Source organism: Homo sapiens, chromosome 3 (assembly GCF_000001405.40).
Source record: "Homo sapiens chromosome 3, GRCh38.p14 Primary Assembly".
NCBI classification, from domain to species: Eukaryota; Metazoa; Chordata; class Mammalia; order Primates; family Hominidae; genus Homo; species Homo sapiens.
This window is the reverse complement of record NC_000003.12, coordinates 100,491,505-100,516,161: the sequence shown is the minus strand read 5'-3', so window position 1 is coordinate 100,516,161 and position 24,657 is coordinate 100,491,505. Positions and strand designations below refer to the sequence as shown.

Sequence of the window (24,657 nt, the reverse complement as noted above, 5' to 3'; positions counted from 1 at the left end):
ATGCTCTCTCTTTTTAACATTTTTTACTGATACATAATCATTGTACATATTTACAGAGTACATGTGCTATTTGGCTACATGCATAAAATGTGTAATGATCAAGTTAGAGTATCTGGGATATCTATCACCCCTGAAACATTTATCATTTCTTTGTATTGGGAGCATTTCAAACCTTCTCTTCTAGCTATTTTGAAATATATAATATATTGTTGTTCATGATAGTCACCTCACTGTGCTATCAAACACTAGAACTTATTTTTCTATATGAATGTATATTTGTACCCATTAACCAACCTCTCTTCATCCTCCTCCCACACCCTTCCCAGCCTCTGGTAACCACCATTCTACTCTCTACTTTCCTGAGATCAACTTTTTTAGCTCTCATGTATTAGTAAGAACATGTAATATTTGTCTTTCTGTGCCTGGCTTGTTTCACTTAACATAATGACCTGCAGTTCCATCAATGTTGCTACAAATGACAGGATTTCATTCTTTTTGTGGCTCAATAGTTCTTTTCTTTTTTTTTTTTTATTATTATACTTTAAGTTTTAGGGTACATGTGCACAATGTGCAGGTTAGTTACATATGAATACATGTGCCATGCTGGTGCGCTGCACCCACTAACTCGTCATCTAGCATTAGGTATATCTCCCAATGCTATCCCTCCCCCCTCCCCCCACCCCATAACAGTCCCCAGAGTGTGATGTTCCCCTTCCTCTGTCCATGTGTTCTCATTGTTCAATTCCCACCTATGAGTGAGAATATGCGGTGTTTGGTTTTTTGTTCTTGTGATAGTTTACTGAGAATGATGATTTCCAATTTCATCCATGTCCCTACAAAGCACGTGAACTCATCATTTTTTATGGCTGCATAGTATTCCATGGTGTATATGTGCCACATTTTCTTAATCCAGTCTATCATTGTTGGACATTTGGGTTGGTTCCAAGTCTTTGCTATTGGAGAATAATGACACAATAAACATACGTGTGCATGTGTCTTTATAGCAGCATGATTTATAGTCCTTTGGGTATATACCCAGTAATGGGATGGCTGGGTCAAATGGTATTTCTAGTTCTAGATCCCTGAGGAATCGCCACACTGACTTCCACAATGGTTGAACTAGTTTACAGTCCCACCAACAGTGTAAAAGTGTTCCTATTTCTCCACGTCCTCTCCAGCACCTGTTGTTTCCTGACTTTTTAATGATTGCCATTCTAACTGGTGTGAGATGGTATCTCATTGTGGTTTTGATTTGCATTTCTCTGATGGCCAGTGATGGTGAGCATTTTTTCATGTGTTTTTTGGCTGCATAAATGTCTTCTTTTGAGAAGTGTCTGTTCATGTCCTTCGCCCACTTTTTGATGGGGTTGTTTGTTTTTTTCTTGTAAATTTGTTAGAGTTCATTGTAGATTCTGGATATTTGCCCTTTGTCAGATGAGTAGGTTGCGAACATTTTCTCCCATTTTGTAGGTTGCCTGTTCACTCTGATGGTAGTTTGTTTTGCTGTGCACAAGCTCTTTAGTTTAATTAGATCCCACTTGTCAATTTTGGCTTTTGTTGCCATTGCTTTTGGTGTTTTAGACATGAAGTCCTTGCCCATGCCTATGTCCTGAATGGTAATGCCTAGGTTTTCTTCTAGGGTTTTTATGGTTTTAGGTCTAATGTTTAAGTCTTTAATCCATCTTGAATTAATTTTTGTATAAGGTGTAAGGAAGGGATCCAGTTTCAGCTTTCTACATATGGCTAGCCAGTTTTCCCAGCACCATATATTAAATAGGGAATCCTTTCCCCATTGCTTGTTTTTCTCAGGTTTGTCAAAGATCAGATAGTTGTAGATATGTGGCGTTATTTCTGAGGGCTCTGTTCTGTTCCATTCATCTATATCTCTGTTTTGGTACCGGTACCATGCTGTTTTGGTGACTGTAGCCTTGTAGTATAGTTTGAAGTCAGGTAGCATGATGCCTCCAGCTTTGTTCTTTTGGCTTAGGATTGACTTGGCAATGCGGGCTCTTTTTTGGTTCCATATGAACTTTAAAGTAGTTTTTTCAATTCTGTGAAGAAAGTCATTGGTAGCTTGATAGGGATGGCATTGAATCTATAAATTACCTTGGGCAGTATGGCCATTTTCACGATATTGATTCTTCCTACCCATGAACATGGAATGTTCTTCCATTTGTTTGTATCCTCTTTTATTTCCTTGAGCAGTGGTTTGTAGTTCTCCTTGAAGAGGTCCTTCACATCCCTTGTAAGTTGGATTCCTAGGTATTTTATTCTCTTTGAAGCAATTGTGAATGGGAGTTAATTCATGATTTGGCTCTCTGTTTGTCTGTTATTGGTGTATAAGAATGCTTGTGATTTTTGCACATTGATTTTGTATCCTGAGACTTTGCTGAAGTTGCTTATCAGCTTATGGAGATTTTGGGCTGAGATGATGGGGTTTTCTAGATATACAATCATGTCATCTGCAAACAGGGACAATTTGACTTCCTCTTTTCCTAATTGAATACCCTTTATTTCCTTCTCCTGCCTAATTGCCCTGGCCAGAACTTCCAACACTATGTTGAATAGGAGTGGTGAGAGAGGGCATCACTGTCTTGTGCCTGTTTTCAAAGGGAATGCTTCCAGTTTTTGCCCATTCAGTATGATATTGGCTGTGGGTTTGTCATAGATAGCTCTTATTATTTTGAGATACGTCCCATCAATACCTAATTTATTGAGAGTTTTTAGCATGAAGGGTTGTTGAATTTTGTCAAAGGCCTTTTCTGCATCTATTGAGATAATCATGTGGTTTTTGTCTTTGGTTCTGTTTATATGCTGGATTACATTTATTGATTTGCATATATCAAACCAGCCTTGCATCCCAGGGATGAAGCCCACTTGATCATGGTGGATAAGCTTTTAGATGTGCTGCTGGATTCGGTTTGCCAGTATTTTATTGAGGATTTTTGCATCGATGTTCATCAAGGATATTGGTCTAAAATTCTCTTTTTTTGTTGTGTCTCTGCCAGGCTTTGGTATCAGGATGATACTGGCCTCATAAAATGAGTTAGGGAGGATTCCCTCTTTTTCTATTGATTGGAATAGTTTCAGAAGGAATGGTACCAGTTCCTCCTTGTACCTCTGGTAGAATTCGGCTGTGAATCCATCTGGTCCTGGACTCTTTTTGGTTGGTAAGCTATTGATTATTGCCACAATTTCAGATCCTGTTATTGGTCTATTCAGAGATTCAACTTCTTCCTGGTTTAGTCTTGGGAGAGTGTATGTGTCCAAGAATTTATCCATTTCTTCTAGATTTTCTAGTTTATTTGTGTAGAGGTGTTTGTAGTATTCTCTGATGGTAGTTTGTATTTCTGTGGGATCAGTGGTGATATCCCCTTTATCATTTTTTATTGCATCTATTTGATTCTTCTCTCTTTTTTTCTTTATTAGTCTTGCTAGTGGTCTATCAATTTTGTTGATCCTTTCAAAAAACCAGCTCCTGGATTCATTAATTTTTTGAAGGGTTTTTTGTGTCTCTATTTCCTTCAGTTCTGCTCTGATTTTAGTTATTTCTTGCCTTCTGCTAGCTTTTGAATGTGTTTGCTCTTGCTTTTCTAGTTCCTTTAATTGTGATGTTAGGGTGTCAATTTTGGATCTTTCCTCCTTTCTCTTGTGGGCATTTAGTGCTATAAATTTCCCTCTACACACTGCTTTGAATGTGCCCCAGAGATTCTGGTATGTTGTGTCTTTGTTCTGGTTGGTTTCAAAGAACATCTTTATTTCTGCCTTCATTTCGTTATGTACCCAGTAGTCATTCAGGAGCAGGTTGTTCAGTTTCCATGTAGTTGAGTGTTTTTGAGTGAGATTCTTAATCCTGAGTTCTAGTTTGATTGCACTGTGGTCTGAGAGATAGTTTGTTATAATTTCTGTTCTTTTACATTTGCTGAGGAGTGCTTTACTTCCAACTATGTGGTCAATTTTGAAATAGGTGTGGTGTGGTGCTGAAAAAAATGTATATTCTGTTGATTTGGGGTGGAGAGTTCTGCAGATGTCTATTAGGTCCACTTGGTGCAGAGCTGGGTTCAATTCCTGGGTATCCTTGTTGACTTTCTGTCTCATTGATCTGTCTAATGTTGACAGTGGGGTGTTAAAGTCTCCCATTATTAATGTGTGGGAGTCTAAGTCTCTTTGTAGGTCACTCAGGATTTGCTTTATGAATCTGGGTGCTCCTGTATTGGGTGCATATATATTTAGGATAGTTAGCTCTTCTTGTTGAATTGATCCCTTTACCATTATGTAATGGCCTTCTTTGTCTTTTTTGATCTTTGTTGGTTTAAAGTCTGTTTTATCAGAGAGGAGAATTGCAACCCCTGCCTTTTTTTGTTTTCCATTTGCTCGGTAGATCTTCCTCCATCCTTTTATTTTGAGCCTATGTGTGTCTCTGCACATGAGATGGGTTTCCTGAATACAGCACACTGATGGGTCTTGACTCTTTATCCAATTTGCCAGTCTGTGTCTTTTAATTGGAGCATTTAGTCCATTTACATTTAAAGTTAATATTGTTATGTGTGAATTTGATCCTGTCATTATGATGTTAGCTGGTTATTTTGCTCATTAGTTCATGCAGTTTCTTCCTAGTCTCGTTGGTCTTTACATTTTGGCATGATTTTGCAGCGGCTGGTACCAGTTGTTCCTTTCCATGTTTAGCGCTTCCTTCAGGAGCTCTTTTAGGGCAGGCCTGGTGGTGACAAAATCTCTCAGCATTTGCTTGTCTGTAAAGGATTTTATTTCTCCTTCACTTATGAAGCTTAGTTTGGCTGGATATGAAATTCTGGGTTGAAAATTCTTGTCTTTAAGAATGTTGAATATTGGCCCCCACTCTCTTCTGGCTCGTAGAGTTTCTGCCGAGACATCCGCTGTTAGTCTGATGGGCTTCCCTTTGAGGGTAACCCAACCTTTCTCTCTGGCTGCCCTTAACATTTTTTCCTTCATTTCAACTTTGGTGAATCTGACAATTATGTGTCTTGGAGTTGCTCTTCTCGAGGAGTATCTTTGTGGCATTCTCTGTATTTCCTGAATCTGAATGTTGGCCTGCCTTGCTAGATTGGGGAAGTTCTCCTGGATAATATCCTGAAGAGTGTTTTCCAACTTGGTTCCATTCTCCCTGTCACTTTCAGGTACACCAATCAGACGTAGATTTGGTCTTTTCACATAGTCCCATATTTCTTGGAGGCTTTGCTCGTTTCTTTTTATTCTTTTTTCTCTAAACTTCCCTTCTCACTTCATTTCATTCATTTCATCTTCCACTGCTGATAACCTTTCTTCCAGTTGATCGCATCAGCTCCTGAGGCTTCTGCATTCTTCACGTAGTTCTCGAGCCTTGGTTTTCAGCTCCATCAGCTCCTTTAAGCACTTCTCTGTATTGGTTATTCTAGTTATACATTCTTCTAAATTTTTTTCAAAGTTTTCAACTTCTTTGACTTTGGTTTGAATGTCCTCCCGTAGCTCAGAGTAATTTGATCATCTGAAGCCTTCTTCTCTCAGCTCGTCAAAGTCATTCTCCATCCAGCTTTGTTCCATTGCTGGTGAGGAACTGCGTGCGTTCCTTTGGAGGAGGAGAGGCGCTCTGATTTTTAGAGTTTCCAGTTTTTCTGCTCTGTTTTTTCCCCATCTTTGTGGTTTTATCTACTTTTGGTCTTTGATGATGGTGATGTACAGATGGGTTTTTGGTGTGGATGTCTTTTCTGTTTGTTAGTTTTCCTTCTAACAGACAGGACCCTCAGCTGCAGGTCTGTTGGAGTACCCAGCCATGTGAGGTGTCAGTCTGCCCCTGCTGGGGGGTGCCTCCCAGTTAGGCTGCTCGGGGGTCAGGGGTCAGGGACCCACTTGAGGAGGCAGTCTGCCCATTCTCAGATCTCCAGCTGCATGCTGGGAGAACCACTGCTCTCTTCAAAGCTGTCAGACAGGGACATTTAAGTCTGCAAAGGTTACTGCTGTCTTTTTGTTTGTCTGTGCCCTGCCCCCAGAGGTGGAGCCTACAGAGGCAGGCAGGCCTCCTTGAGCTGTGGTGGGCTCCACCCAGTTCGAGCTTCTCAGCTGCTTTGTTTACCTAAGCAAGCCTGGACAATGGCGGGCGCTCCTCCCCCAACCTCGCTGCCACCTTGCAGTTTGATCTCAGACTGCTGTGCTAGCAATCAGCAAGACTCCGTGGGCGTAGGACCCTCCGAGCCATGCGTGGGATATAATCTCCTGGTGCGCCGTTTTTTAAGCCCGTTGGAAAAGCGCAGTATTCGGGTGGGAGTGACCTGATTTTCCAGGTGCCGTCTGTCGCCCCTTTCTTTGACTAGGAAAGGGAAGTCCCTGACCCCTTGCACTTCCCGAGTGAGGCAATGCCTCAGCCTGCTTCAGCTCATGCACGGTGCGCGCACCCACTGACCTGCACCCACTGTCTGGCACTCCCTAGTGAGATGAACCCGGTACCTCAGATGGAAATGCAGAAATCACCTGTCTTCTGCATCACTCACGCTGGGAGCTGTAGACTGGAGCTGTTCCTATTTGGCCATCTTGGCTCCTCCATCCCTCAATATTTCATCGTATATCTATATACCACATTTTCTTTACCCATTCATTCATTCATTGATAGACACTTAGGTTGATTCCATACCTTGGCTATTGTGAATAGTGCTGCAATAAACATGGGAGTACAGGTATCCCCTTGATATACTGATTTCTTTTCCTTTGGATAAATATCCAGTAGCGAAATTGCTGGACTCTATGGTAGTTCTGCATTTATTTTTTTGAGAAACCCCCATATTGTTTTCCATAATGGCTATACTAATTTACATTCTCACCAACAATGTGTAAGAGTTCTCTTTTCTCCATGTCCTTGCCAGCATTTATTACTTTTGGTCATTTTCATAACAGCCATTCCAACTGGGGTGAGATAATATCTCATTGTGGTTTTGATTTGCAGTTCTTTAATGATTAGTGATATTCAGCAGTTTTTCATATGCCTGTTAGTCATTCGTATGTCTTCTTTTGGGAAATATCTGATGGGATTTTTTTTCTGTTAAGTTGATGGAGTTCGTTGTATATTCTGGATATTAGTCCCTTGTCAAATGAATAGTTAAAAAATACTTTCTTCCATTCGAAGTTTGTCTCTTCATTCTGTTTATTCCCTTGCTATACAGAAGCTTTCTAGTTTAATATAACCCCACTTGTCTATTTTTGTTTTTGTTATGTGTGCTTTTGAGGTCTTAATCATAATACCATTGCCTAGACCAATGCCCTGAAGTGTTTCCCCTATGTTGTCTTCTAGTAGTTTTATAGTTTCAGGTCTTAAAGTTTTTAATCCATTTTGAGTTTTTTTTTTTTATATAGTGAGAGACAGGGGTCTATTCATTCAGACAGTTTCATTCTTCTGCACATGAATATCCAGTTTTCCCAGCACCACTTATTGAACAGGGTTTCCTTTCCCCAATATATGTTTTTGATGCCTTTGTTGAAAATCAGTTGACTGTAAATATGTGGATTTATTTCTGAATTCTCTATTCTGTTCCACTTCTCTATGTGTCTGTTTTTATACCAATGCCATGTTGTTTTGCTTACTATAGGTCTGTGGTATATTTTGAAGCCAGGTAGTAGATGCCTCCAGCTTTGTTCTTTTTGCTTACTATTGATTTGGCTATTTAGGTCCTTTTTTGGTTCCATACAATTTTTAGCATTGTGTTTTCTATTTCTGTGAAGAATGTCATTGGTATTTTGCAACCATCTGAGTAGATGTAAGGGGATGTCAGTGGGGCTCCAGGGATATGGAGATGCATGGGCTGTTGGACTCCACGGCAAGATGCAGTCTTGTCGGGCCTGGGCTCTCGAAAGGGCACCACGCTGCAGTTGCTTCAGTCTTGGGCTATGTGTGTGACCCATGGTGAAATCCCTCTCTGAGACAATGCCATCGTGTGGGCTCCAGGAAGTTTCCTATACTAGTCTCAGGGTCTGTGAGAGCCAAAGGGCACTCTGTAGCTAGGATTGCAGTAGTCCATGGTGGAAATGTGGAACATGGGGCTCTCTCCCTTCCCTTTTCCTGCACTGAGGAGTCTCTCCTGGCTCCGATCTCAGCTGGGCCAGCTGCTTTGCTTTCCTCTCCTTCCATGCCTGAGAGGTTTTCTGTCACTTTCCTGCTGAGTTCCTGTGTTCTCTCTTAAATACTCTATTTGACATCGTGCTTATCTAGTTGCTGTTTTGGTCCTCTTTTGTGGAGAAGGTGAATAACAGATGTCTCTAGTCAAATATCTTGAAGCCCCCTCCTATGCTCTCTTAATCTCTTCTGTATCTATTTTTCTCTCTTTGGAAAACATAGAGAGGGCAGAAGCTCCTCTAGTCCATACTGATCTGAAAGAAATTAAAGTATAAACTTACTCTATCTACTTTCTAGTGTTATTGTCTTTGTCATTATTAAAAACTGTAAGTGAATTGTTCTCGCCATCCAGACCATCATGGTGGTCATGACAACACTGACTAGCATCCATTCTTCATCCCTGCATCCCAACTCTAGTTACTCAATCCATGGTACAATAGCCATTGGGAATGAAAATAAAGAGCTCCAAGAACATTTATTGAAAACCTTTCTAGGTGAAAAAGTGATTTTAAGACCCCCTCCTTTAAAAGATCAACTCATTTCCACTTTTCCCAAAGACTAATCCTTGAGTCCCATTCTCATCTCCCGGAGCAGGTAAAATTTCTATCAAATAACAGTAATATCTTGTGATCATCTTCAAGTAGGAACTTTCCCACAAATTCATCTGGGCTACAATATTTTAAGAAACTTAGTGTTTTCCAGCAGCCAAAAGATTTGTAAATTGTATGCAGAAAAGCCACATTTCTGTATAGGCAGAGTGGGAAAGAATGCCCAGGTGCCAGACAATCTGAAGAAAACATGTTTGTTCTGGCAGTCAAGTGTCTAACTAGGGACATCCTAATGACAGAGTGTCAGGTTGAATTTGGGGCATGGGAGAGAATCGGACAAATAGGCCTGGAAACCAAATTTAAAACCTTCCAAATCTCAGAGGAAGAATGTACATCCCAGGCTCATATTGTGGAGCTCAGTTATGAACCTCTAGAGCAGTAAGTCCATGCATGATCCCAGAACACTCCTCTCTGACCCAGCCTCCAACTTCTGCCAATGAACAAACCCTGACTCTTTAGTCTTGACCAAGTCCTAACAAGACTTTACTCACTTCACTCTCTGTATGTTCCTGTTGGGTTCCAAAGGGCTTCTGGTTCTAGAACTTGGCTTAGCTAGCCCCCTCAGACCTGTCCAAGATCTTGGCCTGCCTGGTTTGGTCCTTACTGCTCTCCAAGCCTTTGAATCTGAGTCATACATTGACCTCAGAAAACTTGTCCCATCTCACCCAACCATCACCATTACCTACGACTCTTAGCTCCAACCTCTTAGGATGCACAATGTAATTAGCCAATATCTTAGCTGAATCTACCTTACCATAATGCAATGGCAAGGTTGAAGGTGTCAAACACAGAAAAAATATTTTCTGAAACACTCATAGACATGAAAGAGGAAGTGCTATCTCAGAAGCCAAGATAAATATCAACACAGACCATGGTTTGGCAGTCTCTAGATTGTTATGTATAAAATGTTACACTGAAGGTTTAAACTGTTGGACTCTTTAAGGGTACAAAAATGTGCATGGAAGTTCACCTCCAGGACAGTCAGGGAGAGTGGTGTGTTTCCACTTTAAACTACATTACTATTTTGGGGTGTCAGATACTGTGAATTTTACCTTGTTTGGCACCGGATTTTTTTTTTATTCCCATAAATATTCTTGAACTCTGTTCTGGGATGAGCTTAAGTAACTTAGATGCAGTTTAATACTTTTGCAAATTGCTTTTTTATGATTTATTAGGCAAATATGGAGCAGTGCTCTAGACTGCTAATTATTCCCCACTACTGAGGCAAGGCCCTCCTGACTGTTCTACCAATACCCTGTGGATTATGGGTTTCCCAGTCTGGCTGGAAGGAACAGGCAATATTCCCAGCCTTTGGTGAGAGCCAGGCTCTGTTCTCTTCCCCCCACAAGCTTGGCCCCCAGGTCTCCAGTAGTTTCCCCACATACAGGTGCTGGTCAGTACGATGCTGAATCCTTGAGGGCCCCCTCTGCAGTTATCGGGGTCCTCTCTCTCCATGCAGCTCTCTCATTCCTGGTACTCTGTTCCATGAACTCTAACCACCTTGGTTTCCCCAGCCTCTTCACACCTTCTCCTCAAATTGGGAGTCTGAATTGCACTTGAGTTCCTTTCCCTGAGTCTCAGCCTGGAAATTCTCTCCATGCAGTAAGCTGGAGCAGTCCGAGTGTACGCCTTTTTGTCTCCTATTTCTTAGAGATTACTGCTGTTCATCACCTGATGACTGGTGTTTCAAAAATCATTATTTCATGTATTTTATCTGACATTTTTGGTTGTGTCAGGCAAAAGGGTAAATCTGGCCCTGTTACTCCATCTTGGGCAGAAACAGAACTTCTTTAAAACTCTTTGCACTCAATACCAGTATCATTACACAGAACAGACAATCTTAAAACCAGTGTTTTTCAAAGTAAGGTCCTTGGACCACCTATGCCAGAATCACCTGGGATGCTTGGCAAAGACGCACTTTGCTACATCACATTCTCCATTCTATTAAACATAAATTTCCTGCCACTAAAATGTGAGAATTGTTGCCATTGCCATGGCAATTAATTAGCAAAAGACAATGAAATCTTCTTCTGAAAGTCCAAAAATCATTGGAATAGGCAATGGATTAAAAAGTCATGGGTTGGGGGGATGTTAGGGAGAACAGTGGGAAGTCAGTTTCCTAGAAACTATGGCTGTCTGTTGCTAAATGAACCATTTTCCATGTAGCTGCTTCTTTCTCATTCATTGCCATGGTAGAGCACGTGGTGAGATGGGTGTCTCTCCCGGGTGCCTCCACACAAGAGGCTCTCTGGGCAGCAAGCACTAAACCCACCAGGAAATTGTTTAACCAAAATTTGTGTTTCCCCCTCAGTCATTAAATAACCAATGCAGCAATGGTAGCCACACTCCCCAGCAATGAGTCTGTGACAACAACCACACGGTCAACCTTTTGTTCTCCAATCTCAGGAACATTTGGAATGACCCCTCCATCATCTCGACCCACGACAGACCCATTTTCTGGGGGAGGAAACAAAGAGTCTAAAAAGCAGGTATGAGACTTCAACAGAATACAGGCATCTTCAGGCTGAGTTCACCAGAGAGGCAACAGGCTACACTACATAAGCACAGTTTTGCACAAATCTTTTCTGAGACTTGGTTTTGGTCATCTTGCTCATTCAGAAATTAGTGGCATGGCTCTCGCTGCTGGAAAGAAAGTGATAGAAGCACTTGTCCATGCTTGATCCAGTAGAGGAAAGGACAAAACAGAGTGTATCTCACATCCCAGATTATTATGTGTTCCCTGTTTGAAACAACTTTTACCCAAGCCTACCTATGTTTCATTAGCATTGGAGATATCCAGCGGGCAAGGGAGGAGATGAAAGCGGGTGGATACAGGCAGGGCCAGATGACCCAGGGACTTTTGGGCCGTTGGTAAATATCTGGATTTTATTTTAAATGCAATAGGAAGCTACTGGAGGGTGTAACCAGGGAAACAATGTGACTTTTAGTTGTATTTTTCAAGAACCACTCTGGCCACTCTGTGGTGCATAGGTTATACGGGGAAAGAATCAAAGTCAGGAGACCCTTGCAGCAGTGCTATTTCAACCACACCCTGTGGACCAGTCCTAGTCTGCAAGCTGTTACCATCTACAAGGACAGGAACTGAGATGAAGTGTTTAGAGGCTTTTAAATATCTTGAAGTAGTTTAACATTGTGGCGATATCCAAGCAAGACTTTTTTTTTTTTTTATAAAAATATAAGGCTACAATGGACTCAGGGGGTGGGGTGGGAAATGGTCCTTTACCACAGATAATTTGAGAGGTCTTTGCAGTAATTCAGGGAAAGGGTGCTGGACACTTGAACAAGAGTGGATCAGGCACAGAGGAGACAGTGTTTCTCTCTCCCAGGATCACAAATGGACAGTAAGAGGAAGCTGGAAGTTCAGGATACAGAGGCTAGAGCACCCAGTGACACCTCTGCCTCTGCCCACCTGCATTAAACCTGAGCACTTGCCAATTCTCTGAAAAGTGGCAACCAATAACATTGTTTCATTCCTGAAAATAATGTTACACATGGCATAAATGTTAACAGTTCAGACACTGGAGTGAAGCTACCCTGTATTTAAATACTGATTTCACCACGGTGTGACCTTGCATGAGTTACTTAACCTCTCTGGGCTTATCAATAAAATGGGAATAATAATAGCCTCTTCCCGACAAGTTGTCCATGAGGGTAAAACAAGAAGAAGCCTGAGAAGAGGTTGAAACCTAACCAACAGTCACTCAGTCATTAGTTGTTCATGTATCTTCCTGTGAAGAAAAAGCTTCATAGCAAGATTGTGGTCACAGAATCACTCACTTCTGCAAAGTATCTTACATTGGACAAAGTCCCATCACACACATTGCTTCATGAAACCTCTGCAATGACATTTAGAAGGAAGGAGAAACAGGCCCAATTTTCTGTTGAGGAAAATGAGGCTTAATTTATATAGAGAAGTTCCCAAACTTGCCCCAAGTGGATGAGGTATTGATTCATCTGTCTGCTCCCCCACTGGAAACAAACTGTCCAAGAAGTCATAGAAGCAGCAAGGAGAGGCCAGGTGCAGTGGCTCAGGCCTGTAATCCCAGCACTTTGGGAGGCTGAGGTGGGCGGATCACTTGAGGTCAGGAGTTCAAGACCAGTCTGGCCAACATAGTGAACCTCATCTTTACTAAAAATACAAAAATTAGCTGGGTGTGGTGGTGTGTGCCTATAGTCCCAGCTACTAGGGAGGCTGAGGCAGGAGAATCGCTTGAACCCAGTAGGCGGAGGCTGCAGTGAGCCAAGATTGTGCCACTGTACTCCAGCCTGGATGACAGAGTGAAACTGTGTCTCAATAAAAGAAGAAGAGGAAGAGGAAGAGGAAGAAGAGGAAGAAGGAGGAGGAGGAGGAGAAGAAAGAGAGGAAGAAGGAGAAGAAGAAGGAGGAGGAGGAGATGGAGAAGGAGGAGAAGGAGGAGGAGGAGAAGGAGGAAGAGGAGAAGGAGAAGGAGGAGAAGAAGGAGAAGGAGAACTCCCCATTCTTCCTCTACACAACCTTTTTTACTCCCTTTTCACTCTGTCTTCCTCTGGTCTTTATCCCCAAGGTTTAGCCATGGCATGATTTTGCTGTGAGCATTTTCTATAATTTTTTTCTTCCTTGCTAACATTTTTAATATTACTTAATTTTCATTAATATAAAGTATTTAGACCAGGTCCAGTGGCTCACATGTGTTTTCCCAGCACTTTGGGAGGCCAAAGCAGGAGGATCACTTGAGGCCAGGAGTTCAAGACTAGCCTGGACAACATAGGGAGATCCCATCTTTACAAAGAAAACAAAATTAAGTTAGCTGGGCACAGTGGCACACACCTGTAATCCCAGTTACATGAGAGGTTGAGGCAGGAAGATGGCTTGAGCCCAAGAGGTTGAAGCTGCAGTGAGCTATGGTCATGCCACTGCACCCCAGCCTGGGCAACAGAGTGGGACCCTGTCTCAAAAAAAAAATTGATAGATCGATAGATACACAGATAGAATCCCCAAATCTTTTCTAAATGCATTTCTTATTATGATGTAGCTCTCAATTTTGGTTTCTTTTAATCTGCCTTTAACATTCTGCCATGATCATTAGTCTGAATTATGCCTGGTTTGTAAGGAGAGAGAAAGAAAAAATTAGATAATTGGTGAAAAACTCCCTGAGATGAAGAAAGACATGGATCCTCAAATTGAAAGGACATATCAGGAGAAAAGGTGTTTAAAAAAAAAAAAAAGATCCATACCTAGACATATCAAAGTCAGATCTGGAACTTTTTCTTTTTTTAATTTAAAGTGTGAGGGTAGTTATATAAAATGTAGGTCTATTTGGATATGAAGAATGTATTCTGAATTTTATGAGAGTAGTTAATAATCCCAACAGTTTGATATTTTTTAGAGGAATCTTTAAGGAACTAACGTGTCTTGTTTCAAGAGATATTTGTCTGAAGTTCAGAAATTCCTTAAATTTCACCTTGGTTTCTTTTTCCTCTGTGAAATTTAAGATAAATTAAAAGTAATATTTTTTTACTGAAATGTAATTAGTGGTCAACTCTGAGTCCGAGATAGACACAGTCTCTACTAAGAATTGGGTCTATGTGGCAACCCTAGTTGTTGACTCATGTCAGAAAATGGACTAATTATACTTTTAGGTCATTGAGAGGGAATTCAGATGTCTCCTAAACACCTATGTTACTACCACGAAATAACTGCGGCACTGAGGGAAGTTTGGCTCCCAAAAAAGTGAAGTTAATAGGAGCTCTACAAATATTGGTGAGAAAGATTCCACCTTTCAGCTTAGTTAGACAAGTGAGTTTTCATGGGAATAAGGCAACAGGATAAAAAGGTAACCTCTGTAAACATCCCAAGAAGAAGGAGTTTCCATCCAATTTATGTGTTTTTAATTAGGACCTTAGGTAGAGCTTTCCTCCAACTGTGACTGCTTGAGGCCAGTTCTAAGCATCATCAGCAATGAAGGACACCAGCTCACCTGTGAGGGTTTGGAACTTTAGCTGGGAAACTCCTCCCACTAGATCCATGGTTCTCAACCCAGGCCAACCATCAGCTCTCTGGGGAGCTTTTCACAGATGCCTTGGCCTCACTCCACACCTTCTGAATTAGAATCTCCAGGGGCAGGACAAGCATGGGTGTATTTTTTAAATATTCCACAGGCAATTCAGCTGTACATTGGTTAGGTACCACAGGACTAGTCTGTAGAATTCTCAAGGGCAATGTGCTATCTTTCGGAGGCAACGGGAATGTTGAATGAAAAGAGAACTAAAATCAGACAAATTTTCATATTCTTTGCTTACTATACAAGTAGTACAGTTTACCTTTCTAAACATCAATTTCCTTAAGCATATCGTATTTTTTAAAAATCAATTTTCTCATCTACTAAAAAGAATTTAATAAAATATTGTGTAGGTGTTTTTAAGCCTGTGGAATTTTACAAGTAGTACAGTTTACCTTTCTAAACATCAATTTCCATAAGCATAATTTTTAAAAATCAATTTTCTCATCTACTAAAAAGAATTTAATAAAATATTGTGTATGTTTTTAAGCCTTTGGAATTCCAGGAATTCTGGAGAAAGGTGCAGGCATACCACCCACTTCCTTGCTGTGGAAAGCACCACCTTGCTGGTCATTTTTTTTAAATTTCTCTTGAAGGAGAAATAAACTAAGCCACAGAAGATAGCAATCTTTGCATAAAACAGCAGGAAGGAAGGAGTCATTTGCCTCTGGACCTGTTGCCACTTCAAGATTGTTGATGGCACCAGAGGGGCCCAGGCTGCTCAGAAGCGGTGATGGGTGGATGCGGGAAAGGATTTGTTGTCTTCCGAGCTTTCTCTGAGACAGACGAATGTGAGAGTCCTTGGCAGGGACATTGAAAGTCAGACGAGACTGGAAACAGTCAATCTGATGGCTCACAGAGAGGAGCCAAGAGTCCAGAGAGAGGGAACAGGGCAAACAGGCCTCGTTCAACAAATGTAACCCAATACCACTGTTACGTGTTATAGAAAAAGAACATTCATTCAACAAATGTAACCCAATACCACTGTTACGTGTTATAGAAAAAGAACATTCTTTCACTTGAGTGCTAGTGTCTGTTCTCCAGGACACAGTATGTTCACGAGATCTCTGGGTCTCAGTGGACAGACTGAGATGTGTGTATTTGATACCGCTGAGACTTTTTAAAAAAACAAGGTCTGAACAATGCATAAAATATGGTCCCATGTATATTTTAAAATAATATTTATGTTTAAATCTATACCTGTGAATGGACTCTTGGAGAAGGTCTAGAAAAATATAGAGCAGACTATTAACAAAGTTTAATTGTGGGGAGAGTAGTGGAAGGGAAGAAACCATGTAAATAGAAGGGGAACCATTACTTTTGACTCTACAATCTATTTCAATTTTTTGCAACATGGGGATGTTGCTTTTTTAATTCTAAACACCACAAAAAGGTAAAAATAGTTTTAAAAAAAATAGCTATCAGCCACCAATGCCATTTGACCACAAGAATAGTTTTTCTTTCTTGGAAATACTAAAAGCTATAAAGTGTAGGGGTTGGTTGGTTTGTTTGTCTTGTTCTGTTGCCCAGGCTGGAGTGCAGTGGCACAATCTCGGCTCACGGTAGCCTCCACCTCCCAGGCTCAAATGATTCTCCTGCCTCAGACCCTAAGTAGCTGGGATTACAGGCACATGCCACCACACCCAGCTAATTTTTGTGTTTTTACTAGAGATGGGGTTTCGCTATGTTGCTTAGGCTGGTCTCGAACTCCTGGCCTCAAGTGATCCACCCACCTCAGCCTCCCAAAGTGCTGGGATTAAAAGCGTGAGCCACTGCACCTGATCCAAGTACAGAATTTTTTAGTAATTCTATAAGAAAAAATCAGTACTTTAGATATAATTAGAAAAATGATGTCAAGAATGAATTAATATTTTTAAACTATGGCTATGTCTATGCTTATGATATCTACATAGAGACAAACATTATAATCGTTGATAAAAATTATTAATGAATTGCTTAACTATCCACATGCAAAAGAATGAAGGTGAACACCTATTACCTTATGCCATTTACAAAATTAACTCAAAATGGAACAAAGACTTATACATATGAGCTAAAACTATAAAATTCTCAGAAGAAGGCATATGGAAAAAGCTTCAGGACATTGAATTTGGCAATCATATCTTAGATATGACACCAAAAGTGCAGGCAAAAAAGAAAAAAATAAAGAAATTAGACCATCAACATTTTAAACTGTTATGCATCAAAAGACACTACCAACTCAGTGGAAAGGTAACCCGAAGAATGGAAGAAAATATCTGCAAATAATATATCTGATAGGGAATTAATATCCAGAATATGTAAAGAACTTCTACAACACACGAAAAAAAAACCCTAATTTTAAAATGGGCAAAAGATTTACAAATGGCCAATAAGCACATGAAATGGTGTTCAACATCACTAAACATTAGGGAAATGCAAATCAAAACCACAACAAGATGCTTCCCACACATTAGGATGTCTATTATTTTTTACATTAAAAACAGAAAATAACAAGTGTTGGTAAGAATGTGGAGAAATTGAGACCCTTGTGTACTGCTGTAGGGATGTAAAATAAAATGGTGCAGCTGCTGTGAAAAAACAGTAGGATGGTTCCTCAAAATATTAAAAATAAGGGGTAATCCAATAATTCCACTTCTGGTTATACACCCAAAATAATTGAAAGCATAAACTTAAATAGATATTTGTACACCAATGTTTATCGCAGCATTATTCCCAGTAGCCAAAAGATGGTGTATTAATTAGAGGCCCGGGTTCTCCAGAGAAACAAAACCAACAGGGGACACACACACAAACACACACACACATACATGGACAGATTGATTTTGAGAATTGGTTCACACAATTGTGAAGGCTAGCAAGTCCAAAACCTACAGGGTAGGCTAGCAGGCTGAAGGTGCAAGGAAGACTTGCTGTAGTCTCAAGTTCAAAGGCAGGCTGGAGGCAGAATTCTCTCTTCTTGAGTGGAATTCAATCTTTTTCTATTGAGGCCTTCAATTGATTAGATGAAGCCTACCAACATTATGGAGGCCATACTCAAAGTCTACTGATTTAAATGTTAACCTCATCTGTATTATTCCATTTTCACACTGCTATGAAGAAATACCCAAGACTGGGTAATTCATACAAGAAAGAGGTTTAATTGACTCACAGTTCCACATGGCTGGGGAGGCTTAGGAAACTTACAATCATGGCAGAAGGCAAAGGGTAAGCAAGGACCTTCTTCACATGGTGGCAGGAAACAGAGAAAGCAAGTGGGAAAAGAGTCCCTTATAAAACCATCAGGTCTCATGAGAACTCACTCAGTATCATGAGAACAGCATGGGGGAAACCGTCCCCATGATCCAATCACCTCCCACCAGGTCCCTCCCTCTCCACGTGTGGATTATGGGGATTACAATTTAAGATGAGGTTTGGGTGGGGACACAAAGCCAAACCATATCATCAACTAAAAAATATCTTCAAAGAAACATTTAGGATAATGTTTGGCCAAATAGCTCAGTACTGTGGCCTAGACAAGTTGACACATAACTAATCATCACAGGTGAAAACAACCTAAGTCCCTCTACCAATGAATGAATGGAAAAACAAAAGATGGTATATACATACAATGAAATATTATTCAGCCTTAAAAAGGAAGGATATTCTGGCACATACCACAACATGGATGATACTTGAAGACATTTTGCTAAATGAAATAAGCTAAACATAAAAGAATAAATATTATATACTTCCACTTATATGAGGTACCTAGAATAGTCAAATTCATAAAAATAGCAAGTAGAATATTGGTTCCAGAAGCTGACAAAGTAAGGGGTACAGGGATTTATTGTTTAATGAGTATTAAGTTTCAGTTTGGGAAGATGAAAAATGTCTGGAGATGGATGGTGGTGATGGTTACACACAATGTGAATGTACTTAATGCCATTGAACTGTATACTTAAAAATGGTTAAGATGGTAAATTTTATGTTATATATTTTACCACAATAAAAAAGGAATTGCTTACATGTACAGGCTTTACTGTGAGCCAGACAATATACTGAATGCTCTCCATGGCTTTTCTCATGTAATGCATATGAGTACCCCCATTTTACAGATAATAAAAGCTTCTAGAGGAAAGTGACTTGCTCAAGGCCACATTGGTAAGAATCAGATCTGGAATTCAAACCCTCACAGTCTGACTTCAAAGCCTGTGTGCTTAGTCACTATGCCATACTGAAAAGAGCAACTACATTAGATAAAGAGCAACCTAAAACATTTTTCAAATATTTTAAAGTTGATTCAATACACAAAATATTTAAGGAATGAATTCCCAAAAAGATAGATGCCAAATCCAGAATGGGTATGATTAATAACTATATACCTAAAATAGACCTTCATTGATATTCACCATGAGAAGTTCTTAGCCCAAAACCACAGCATGTCCAGAAATAAAAAGAGAAACTGAGATGCCCCAAAAGCAGAAGTAGAATGTTTACCTGGCATCTGACCCATTTTCCCACAAGTCTTGGGACATTTCATAGTCTCTCTATTTATTTTTTTAAATAAAAATAGTGTGGTCACAACTTCCTTTTTCAAAGGGGACAGTCATTCAATTGACATGTATTGAGTGTCTGCTAGACAACCAGGTGCTATGTGGGTTTTGTTCAAACAAGGTGAAAAGACAGAGTGCATGCCTGCAATGAGATCCACATGTCTCCTGTCTCCATATGGAGCACATTTCATAGACAAGATTCACATTGATATTCTGGCCCCCGCCAGGCAAATTTTACCAAATCAATATCTCCAAATATGCCCTTTCTCCAATGATCTTCCTTCCATGTACTTCTCAACTATCACCACCACAAACACGAAGAGCAGCTGTAGCTGTATTATACCTAAGGTAGCATAGCCTATTGGGTAAGGCTCGGGCTACAAAGTTAGACTGGTTCTACACCTGCCACTTGTTCACTGTGTAATCTTGGGCAAATTTCTTAAACTGCCTTTGCCCTTGTCTCCTCAACTAGAAAAACAGGACACAAATAGGTACCAACCCTCACAGGAGGATGTGAGGAGGACATGACCATCATCAGAACGTTCTCCATGTATTAAGTGATCAGAAAATATTAGTCGCAGATGTATCAAATAGGCATCTGTGAATAATGGACTGTTCCAGGGATCCGGGGAGAAGAATAAATGATTATCTGAGAGAAAAAGGGCCTCTAGAGATCATTTCACAGATGATGGCAAGGAGGACCACAAGGGTTCAATGTCTTGCCTGAAGTCACACAGGTGGTCAACAGCAGCATCAGGCACACCTCTCTACCACAGAACAATGCTCTCAGGGAAGAGAAAGCAAGGGAACTCCAAAGTGACTCTCCACTTAAGTGCATATTACAGTTCTTATCTACTTCAATAATTGTAAGTTATGAAGTTATATGTGTTAAAATGTGAGTAGATGATTCTATCAGCAGGATGAGAAAGAGCTACTCGGCATACACTATGGGCGTGTATGCGGATGGGGAGGGTTGTAACAATCACATCCATGTCAAAGATTTTAGGGCATGGCCTGTTAACAAAAAGTAGCCTGGGTAACTGCCCTGAGCACCAGACCACTTAAACAGAGCTCCAAGACAGCCACCATGGAATGACTCCAAAACACAGACTCACTGCCCATCCCTACCCACCCAACCTGCAGGACCTGGATGGAGGTTATAGAAGCAGTGGAGCAGATGGGAAGGGAATGCTGGGCAAGAGAGAAGACAGGACCCCAGAGATGGATTATTCCAGAAACACCTCTTCTGTGTAACTGCTGACAGTTCGGCTTGCCATCTCCCCACCAATCTACCTCCCAAGCCTCTCTTTCCTTATCAGGTAATTTATGCTGTCCCTTCCCACCTCTCCCACCTTTCCAAACTTTCCTCCAACTAACCTCCCACAGATTATCCCAATGTCCCAACATCCACAGGATAGCTCCTCACTTTCCAGCCATAGTGCCTTTGCCCCTGCAAAAGGTCTCCTTCCTCCTAAAATGTTCCTGCTCCTCTATAATCCCTTCCCTTCCTCCCATTCCCAAACCAGAACTGTTTGACAAAACCCATTCCCAGAAACGCAAGCCCTTCTGTGAAGCCATCCTACAAAAGATAGCCTTTTTCTATTCCCTGCATTTCAGAACCTTCTAGATCTTCCTAAGAAGATCAATTCTACCTCACTCCTCATTCAAGACTCTCTCTCCTTATAGCCTCATACAATGCTGGCTAGCAAGTGGTCAGCACTCAGTTAATACCAGTTGCTAGAGCAGAAGTCAAAATGGCAGCTGGGGAAACTGATGTGCAACAGTGCAGGCTGGGAAGGAAGATAACAAAGAGTGAGTACAACAGCAAAGACATGCTATGGGACTACAGGCCAGAACTATTCCAAGTGTTCAATGTATGCTAACTCAGTACTCGAGACAACCCCATGATGTAGGTGCCATTATTATTAGCACATTACAGATGAGGGAACTGAGAAGGAAACTCACCACAGAGGAGGAAACTCTCCATGTTACAGAGGAGGAAGCTGAGGCACAGGGGGGCTGAGTAACTTGCCCTAGGTAAGTTACTGTTGTAGGGCTGTAAATTGAACCAGGCCAGCTGGCTCTTTACATCGCTTCTCTGCAATACTGTTCCTTCTAAGCCTGCTTCCCTGCAAATCACTTCAGCTGCTCCATCCACTTTGTATGCATTACCTTTCTGAATCAAAAACACACTTAGAATTTTTTTTTTTTTTAGACGGAGTCTCACTCTGTCACCAGAGCTGGAGATGGCTGGAGTGCAGTGGCGTGATCTTGGCTCACTGCAATCTCTGTCTCTTGGGTTCAAGAGTTTCTCTTGCCTCAGCCTCCCAAGTAGCTGGGATTACAGGTGCGCACCACCACACCCAGCTAATTTTTGTATTTTTAGCAGAGACAGGGATTCACCATGTTGGCCAGGATGGTTTCGATCTCCTGACCTCATGGTCAACCTGCCTTGGCCTCCCAAAGTGCTGGGATTACAGGCGTGAGCCACCGCGCCCAGGCTGCAACTTTTAATTATTGTACTAAATTCCCATCTACTGCTTTCTGAGCCGGAAATTAAAGATCCATTCTATCCAGCTCTCCCATGATAGTAAATAACATATGACAAAAGTCTCAAATCCAAAACATTGGTTAAACAGAGGGGATTATACATGTTTCAGATGGAGTGGGTCTCAGGCCACTCACTTAACTGAATATTTTTCATCATTCTGTTTCTAAATCCTGTAATGTATACCGGAACTATCTGCAAGCATGTACATATAACAATTTTATATTATTTTGATAGAATTATTGTTTTAATATACAATTATAAGGTCGGGTGCAGTGGTTCACATCTGTAATCCCAGCACTTTGCGAGGCCAAGGGAGGCACATAACCTGAGGTCAGGAGTTCAAGACCAGCCTGGCCAACATGGCGAAACCCCGTCTTTACTAAAAATACAAAAATTAGCTGGGCACGGTGGCAGCCATCTGTAATCCCAGCTACTTGGGAGGCTGAGTCAGGAGAATCACTTGAACCCGGGAGGCAGAGGTTCCAGTAAGCCGAGATCGTGCCATTGCACTCCAGCCTTGGCGACAAGAGTGAGACTCTGTCTCAAAAACAAACAAACAAACTACAACAACAACAAAATATATAGCGTATATAGAGTATACTATATAGCATACATAGAGCATATACACCATATAGCATAGTGTATACATAGCATGTATATAGTATATATACCATACTATATAGTGCATATATACTATATAGTATATATATACAATTATAAGTTTATGAACACACAAGTGGTCTGTCACATGTTTGTTTGTTTTTAACAATTATAAAGGAATTCAGGTCTCCCACTATGGATAGGAGAATACCGAAAAGATATATATTTGGCTTGCAACTACCTCCAGATTTAAGTGAAAAATCCAGCAACTACCTGCATAACCCAGGTTTTACGTAATTTATATTAGACATCCTATTAACAGAAGCAAACGTGTTAATTCTGAAAAGATCAGATAATTTTCTCAATCTCCCATCAAAACAGTCCCAGAGTTGGGGATAAAAAACGATTTTGGCTTTACAAATACCCACAGTATTTTCACAGAAAGAAAATAGAGAAATAAATTTATCAATAGATTCAATTTTGGAGTTAGAGGTTTACAACAGAATATCAGTCACATTGCTGCTCCCAGGATATTTAAAACTAGCTCACCAAAAAAAAAAAAAAAAAAAAAAGAATAGCAAACCAAAAAAATTAAATTAAAATGTTAGTGAAACGGAAGAGAAGGGAGCGAAGGGTCCAGTTTGTCGCAGCAAGTGTTACTTTTCTCCCCTTGATGAAGAGAAAGCTGGTGAGAACAGTAAAAAGACACAGGATAGAGATCACGGCAAGAGAAATATGATATCCAGCACGTATCCAAAACTTACCCAACTTGGTCTGTTTACTCAACACTTTATTTTTCCCACTTTGCCAGCTTAAAATCAGACAGCGGCTGGGCTTTTGTTGTTGCTGTTTCTGTTCTTTTGATCCCAGAGCCCCATGAAAATTAAACCGTGTGTTGGATGGGATCTGGCCACGTCTCGCATTGGGTGGGGGGAGGAATTTTTAAACTTGGGTCCCTAGTCGCTTCTTTGGGAAAACGAATAAATAATAAGTGGCGAGAAGGAGAGGACGTGGGGGACGTGCTCGGCTGACGTCGGCCCGCGAGGAGGCCGCACAGCTGTCCAGATGTGCTTCATCTGTTCCCCCCGCGGGGCACGGGCCTCGGCGGCCGCGGCTGGCACAAGCCCCAGCTCATTGGTGGCCGCAGCTCTTCACTTGCTGCCGATTGGCCGGGCGGCCCGCCACTCCGGAGGGCCTCGGGCCCGCCCCTCTCTCAGGCCCGCTGGCTGCATCCTAAGGGAATGTGGAAGTGCAGCGCCGTCGCTGATGTGGCACTCGGCGGCTGCGCGGCCGGGACGGCTCGGGGCAGAGAGGGAGGTTGCCTACTCCCAGGTCTTGCCCCTGCCCCGGCCCTGTTATGCCCCTCCTTTTAGACAGACCGCTTTGTTTAAACAGGATGATTTGTAGCCGTTTGGAGGCTGAAAATAAGGCGGATGATTTGTAGCCGTTTGGGGGCTGAAAATAAGACGCGCCTGGTGCTTGGAGTGGAAGAGGCTGGGGCTCCGGGCTGCCCACGCCCCCAAAGGGCGTTCAGGCCACGCCTTGGGATTCCTCTCTCTTCACTTTCTCCAGGGAGCAAATAATAGGGCCCAAGAGCCTGCTCCCTGGGGACGGTATTCTTTCTTTCGGTGGAGGGAAAACCTTAATGAACCCTTCGTTGAAGTCCTTATTAACCAGAATTGAAGTTGTTCCTGCGGAGATGACCAGGACTGGGTATGAGAGTGGTTTGGCAGACCTGCTTGGTTTTTTGTATTGAGTGATGGTCGTTGTAGGGAACCGAGAAATACTGCTTTGTTGTGTGAGAATTGAGAAAGGACTGCGCCAAACGTTGCTTTGAACTTGGGAAAGCAGTTGGAGGGTTAACCAGTTTTTTGATTAGTGAGTTAGAAGGAGAGGAGGAAAGAAGAGATCTGCAAATCAATTGCCATTATAATTTGTGCATATTGACAGAACCGTTCCCTCATTGAAATATTAAGTGGGCAAGAGCCACACTCACTGGGCTGCACGCCAGGGAAGGCACCAGACCCCGCATTAAACAGTTTTTACCTGCATTATCACATTTAATTCTTACAACTACCTTATAAAATAGATATTAAAATAATCTCCAAGACCCAGCACCTATCCCAGCCTACCACAGATGTCTCCAAACATATGTTTGCAGCACTCCATCATAGATACATAAACTCAT

At 41.4% G+C, this 24,657-nt stretch overlaps 1 protein-coding gene across 9 annotated transcripts in view, besides 1 other annotated feature; it reads right to left on the bottom strand.

Annotated features, from left to right (window-relative positions):
- The window catches only part of TMEM45A (transmembrane protein 45A), an 84,826-nt gene extending 61,283 nt beyond the window's left edge, over nucleotides 1-23,543 (bottom strand). For all 9 annotated transcript variants that reach the window (XM_047448425.1, XM_047448427.1, NM_001363876.2 and 6 more), the window contains exon 1: nucleotides 23,234-23,543. The gene's annotated coding sequence lies outside the window, so the exon portion shown is untranslated. The remainder of the gene's footprint in view (nucleotides 1-23,233) is intronic.
- Nucleotides 23,526-23,825: a silencer, noted in NCBI's record as "silent region_14573". NCBI's record gives its function as "represses an Ori minimal core promoter by ATAC-STARR-seq in GM12878 lymphoblastoid cells {active_cell/tissue: GM12878}" and the evidence as "EXISTENCE:reporter gene assay evidence [ECO:0000049][PMID:35858748]".